Raw genomic sequence first — 6,068 nt, forward strand, 5'->3', positions numbered from 1 at the left:
AATCAGATAATGACACGTTCTGCTATAAAGTAAGCTGTACATAAAATAATTTTTCTAAAATGAAAATATGTACTACAGATCTTGGAATTTCTGTCTGGATTTGCACAGTTTTTAAAATTAATCATGTCAGCCCAATGCAGCTGTGTCATTGCCACCTAGTGGTAAAACTAACATTACTGTTAAGCTGTGTGATTTTAAACTTGAATCCCCAGTAAAAGGTTCACTGTTCTGTGGCCATAAGTGTGAATCTTGTGACTCTTTCTCTAGCCTGTAAGAGACTGCTCTTCTTTGGTTTACAGCTATTCTCTGAAATCTGCCAACACTGGTACTCTAGCCCTGTTTTGGATCCTTCTATCCTTAATTATAAAGGCTGATCAGTAGTTGTAGCAGTTGAAGCCAAAAGCTATTTGGGTTCTGTATCTGCCCCCAAAGTTGTATATCCTTAGCTCCTAATTCCTATTCTATCAGTGCCTTACCAGAGGCTGTGTTTGGCATTCTATTTATCTATTTAAAAATTTGCCATTGGCTTATGTTCTCTCACCAGTTTCATGAATTTTTTTCTCATTGATATGCCTTGACACAATACTCTCAGAAAGCCAATAACAGTGCAATGTTTCTTACACTTCCAGTAGTCAAGAATTTTGTGAGAGCAGATATACCTAATACAAGATCATGTAGGAAATTATAATGTTGCTTTTTTTTCTGAGAGATTTGGGCTTTTTTGTGGCGAGGGGGTTGTAGAAAGTTGAATTCTTTGTCATGATGAAATCCAGTAAATTAAAAATTTATTGAGTTTTACTGTATGTCGAAGACTGCCAGCTGTGGTGGGTTTAGGAAAATATGAAAGAAAGGGAAGAGGTTGCTTTCCTTGAACATCTTGAAATCAAGGTGGAAAAACTATACATGTTTGAAAAAAAAAAAAACCCCAAAACCATCTGCCTCAATTGTAAGCTCATATAAAAGAACCAACATAACAAGATGTGAGCTATGTAAAAAAACCATCAAGATTTAGTTGCTTATTCATTTCTCCTCTGATTTCTATTCTGTATACCCTTTACATTCTAAGCTATGCATTGGTCTTGATTTTTGCTGCTCCTGAGTGACTTCATCCTTTTCCCTTATCTGCATGTGATCCAGTCACCCTGTCTGGCTCTATGATTTATATATTCAATTGAGAAATTGGACTTAGTCTAGAAGGGAAATTAAAATTAATGCTTTGCTTCCCATCCATAGTGAACTCTCCATTAGCATCATAATGTCAGAGCCACCCAGATGGGTTAAGAAGTTCAAATAATTATTTAACTCAGTTGTTGACATCTCTACTCATATCAAAATTATTATACCTCCTTATGCCACTCATAAGTGTCAAAATACAGCTCAGCTGCCTTGGTCTGAAGTAGCAACATTATTATCTGTATCTCTTCTTAGCCTTTCCTAATGCATACACATGCCCTTTCTTCTCTCCATTTCCTCCAGTGGGCAGTTGTAGTGGTTTCTTTTTTTTTTTTTTTTCCTTTGGTATCCTTATTGCTACTTAAGTATTAAAATTTAGTTTGTTATGATTCAGCCTTAAAAGATCATCACGCAAATTCTTTAAGACTAACGGACTACACTTCTTAGATATGTACCCTTATCTGTTTTTCCTATTGAAGTCTATGACAACTTTGTTTAATAATTAGTCTCAGGCAGTCCTATGCAATTAGAAGTTGGGATGGAAGCTGCAGGGCACGGTGGCTCACACCTGTCTTTGAGGGGCGGAGGCGGGTGGATCACGAGGTAAGGAGATCCGGACCATCCTGGCTAACACGGTGAAACCCCGTCTCTACTAAAAATACAAAAAAAAAAAAAAAAAAAAGAAAAAGAAAAAAAAATGGTCGGGCATGGTGGTGGACACCTGTGGTCCCAGCTACTCCTGAGGCTGAGGCAGGAGAATGGTGTGAACCCAGGAGACGGAGCTTGCAGTGAGCTGAGATCGCGCCACTGCACTCCAGCCTGGGCGACAGTGTGAGACTCCATCTCAAAAAAAAAAAAGAAGAAGTTGGGATGGAAGAATGACCAATAGCAGTTTCTTCCACAGTGACACCTAATGTGAAAATGAGTGTCTGTAGTGCCTCAGATTCTATAAGAATTGCCATATTGTAAAGTGATTCTTGTGGTTGTGTCTCTTAATACTGGAATATAAGCATCTACAGATCAAAGACTATGGGATCAATGCTTTGCAGAGTAGTATATATTCAACAGACATATACTTAAACACTAATTGTATATCATGTATAAGACATGTTCTAGATCATGTATGGGATATATGGCTAAGACTATCTGCATTCAAGAGATTTACAATGGAAAGGAGGAAACAGACATGTAAGAAAGGGAGAATGAGTTAAGTGTTACTGGAAGAGTGCAAATGAAAGACTAATTCTGATGAGTGGCATAAGGAGGTATAATAATTTTGATATGAGAAGTAGAGATGGCAACAACTGAGTTGGCCTTCAAAAATAATATTTTCATGATGTTTTGTAATTCTTAAGATATTTTCGTAGACACTAGCTCAATGTCCAAGAGATCATCTAAAGGATACATTTGGTTGGGAAAGTAAACCTTAATTTAATCTTAGCTGCAGGGATGAATCCATTTGTTTAACTGAGAAGTCTTACTGAGGCTTTGCTTTTTCAGTCTTATTTCCTTCCTACTGTTTGTAGTCTGGAGAAATAGTTTTTGAAACCTACAAAAGCCCCCAGATTTCTGGACTTTCTCTAAGCCAAGGTATTTAACTGAATGTCAGAATAAAGGTATGCTTTATTTTGCTTATAACTGACTAATTTTCTGAGCTCACTTCTTTCTTGTATTATTTGCTGAACACAGCAAGGAGCAAATAACGTTAATTTTCTGGCTCTTTCCAGCCACTTCCTCTAGAGAAGGGCTTCTTAACTTCAGGGTTATCATGATGCAGATAACTCTCTGTTGTGGGGGGCTGTACTGGATATTAAAGGAGTCTTAGCAACATCTCTTGTCTCTACCTGCCACTTCCTCCCTGCTCCAGTATGACAACCAGAAATGTCTCCACACATTGCCAGATGTCCCCTGGGGGCAAAATTGTGCCTGTATGAGAATCACCGCTCTAGAATCACAAGCTTAGAGTCAGTCTGCTTTCCGAGTTATTGAAAGTAATATTTACAACATGTTTCTTACCACTATTCCATCTTTCCAGTGCCTGCTAGTTATTTCCTTGACGCATATTTCCTACTCACTAATATAATGCCACATATTTGATTATCACAACAGCAGCCCACTTCAAGATACCTATTTCTCTGTTGATTTGGGTAACTGTAGCTGATGAAACCCCCACATTTTAGAGGCTTAACACAGTAAGTGTTGTTTGTCTTTTTCTCTTAGTGGTCTTATGATATAAAGCTTTGTCAAAGCATGACTTTTTTCAAGTGATTCTTGGACCCAAGTGCTTTCCATCTTGTGATTTTGCATCTGCTAAACACTTAGAATCCTTTGCATCCAGTTGGCAGTTGGGAAAAGAGAGAATACACAGTGCACACTTGTTCCTTAATGCCCTTCTTTCAGAAGCCATATACATTCTTTCAGTTCACTTTCTATTGGTGAAAACTAGTCACCTGGCCCTACCTTGATGTGGGGTGGGGGTGGGATGGGTGATGGGAATGACTCCCTAACTAGGCAGCTGTTTCACAATGACAACTTTATATAATCAAAAGGGAGGCACAAATGTTGTTGAATAATTAGCCCTTTGTGAAACAAAAATAGGTACATTAGGGCAGTTATTCTCATAGAACCCATTCAGGGAGCTTTTATAAAAAATATCAGTACATGAGTCTTACTCGCAGAGGATCTGATTTACTTGGTCTAAAGTGACTATGGTGTATCTTTTATTTATTTTTTTTAAGTTCCCAGATATCTCAAATAATGCAGCCAGAGTTGAGAACCACAAGATTGCCCATTTTCAGGGCAAACAAAGTAGACGTAGGAACAAGAGAATAATGGGTTTCTTTGATGAACCATGAAATCAAGACTAGGCATAAAATAATAATGGGGAAACTAAATAAGTGCCGTATTACTAATGTTTTTCCACTCCAAAACTCATGTTAAAATTTAATTGCGAATCTGATGGTAGTGTAATTTCTAGGTGATTAGGCCATGAGTGCTCCACTCTCGTCAATGAATGAACACTATTATGAAAAGGACTTTTGGGAGTGAGCACTCTCTCACTCTTCTGTCTTCCACCATGTGATGACTCAGCAAGAGGGCCCTCACCAGATGCCAGGGCCTTGGTTTTGAACATCCCAGCCTCCAGAACTGTGATGAAATAAATTTCTGTCCTTTATGAATTCCCCAGTCTCAGGTATTCTGTTATAGTAGCACAATGGACTAAGACAGAAATTGGTACCAAAGGAGTGGGGTGTTGCTATAACAAATATCTGAAAATGTGGAAGCAGCTTTTGAATAGTTTTGACGTGACTGCTGGAAAAACGCTGTGTTGCCAAAAATGGAGCATTAAGGGCAATATGGGTAACAGCTCAGATGGAAATAAGGAATATCTTATTGGAAACTAGAGGAAGAGCCATCTTTTTATGAAGTAGCAAAAAACTTGCCTGAATTGTGTCTATGCCCCAGGGCTTTATAGAAGGTAGCATTTAAGAGGAATGAACTAGGATATCTGGCAAAAGATTTCTAAGCAGCAAAATATTGAGAGGACTGTGAAGCTTCTCTCTCTCTTTTTTTTTATACTTTAAGTTCTAGGGTACATGTGCACAACGTGCAGGTTTGTTACATATGTATACTTGTGCCATGCTGGTGTGCTGCACCCATTAACTCATCATTTACATCAGGTATATCTCCTACTGCTATCCCTCCCCATGACAGGCCCCAGTGTGTGATGTTCCCCTTCTTGTGTCCAAGTGTTCTCATTGTTCAATTCCCACCTATGAGTGAGAACATGCAGTGTTTGGTTTTTTGTCCTTGTGATAGTTTACTGAGAATGATGGTTTCCAGCTTCATCCATGTCCCTACAAAGGACATGAACTCATCCTTTTTATGGCTGCATAGTATTCCATGGTGTATATGTGCCACAATTTCTTAATCCAGTCTATCATTGATGGACATTTGGGTTGGTTCCAAGTCTTTGCTATTGTGAACAGTGCTACAGTAAACATGCGTGTGCATGTGTCTTTATAGCAGCATGATTTATAATCCTTTAGGTATATACCCAGTAGTGGGATGGCTGGGTCAAATGGTATTTCTAGTTCTAGATCCTTGAGGAATCGCCACACTGACTTCCACAATGGTTGAACTAGTTTACAGTCCCACCAGCAGTGTAAAAGTGTTCCTATTTCTCCACATCCTCTCCAGCACCTGTTGTTTCCTGACTTTTTAATGATCGCCATTCGAACTGGTGTGAGATGGTATGTCACTGTGGTTTTGATTTGCATTTCTCTGATGGCCAGTGATGACGAGCATTTTTTCATGTGTCTGTTGGCTGCGTAAATGGAGGATTGTGAAGCTTCTCTTAAGCACACATAGTAAAATGCAAGAAGAGAAATTATTTAATAATGGAATTTATAATCAAAAGGGAAGCAGAATGTAGAGAACTGGAAAATCCCTAGCCTGGCAATGTAAAGAATGAAAAAGCACATTTAGGAGAAAAAAACCAAGGCTGTGGTCAAAGAACTGTTGCTAAAGAGATTAGTACGGATAGGAGGAAGCCAGGCACTATTAATCAAGACAATGCGATAATCACCCCAGTGGCATTTCAAAGATCTTCAAGGCTGCCCCTCACATCGCAGGCCCTGAGCTCTAGGACCTTGAGGGCAGAATAGTTTAAGGGATTGGCCTGAGGCAACTTCCAGGAGCTTACCACCCAGGGCTCCCTGGGCTCCCCTTTCCCTGCATTCTGGCTTACAACAATCCTTGACCACCCCAGCTGTGGCTCAAGCAGCCCCAGGTTTGGCTTAAGCAGCCACTTTAGAGGGCACAAGTGGTAAACCTTGGCAGTGTCCACATAGTGCTAATTCTGCAGGCTCACAATGCAAGAGCTGTGGAGGCAT

This window comes from Homo sapiens, chromosome 11, assembly GCF_000001405.40.
Source record: "Homo sapiens chromosome 11, GRCh38.p14 Primary Assembly".
NCBI lineage: Eukaryota > Metazoa > Chordata > Mammalia > Primates > Hominidae > Homo > Homo sapiens.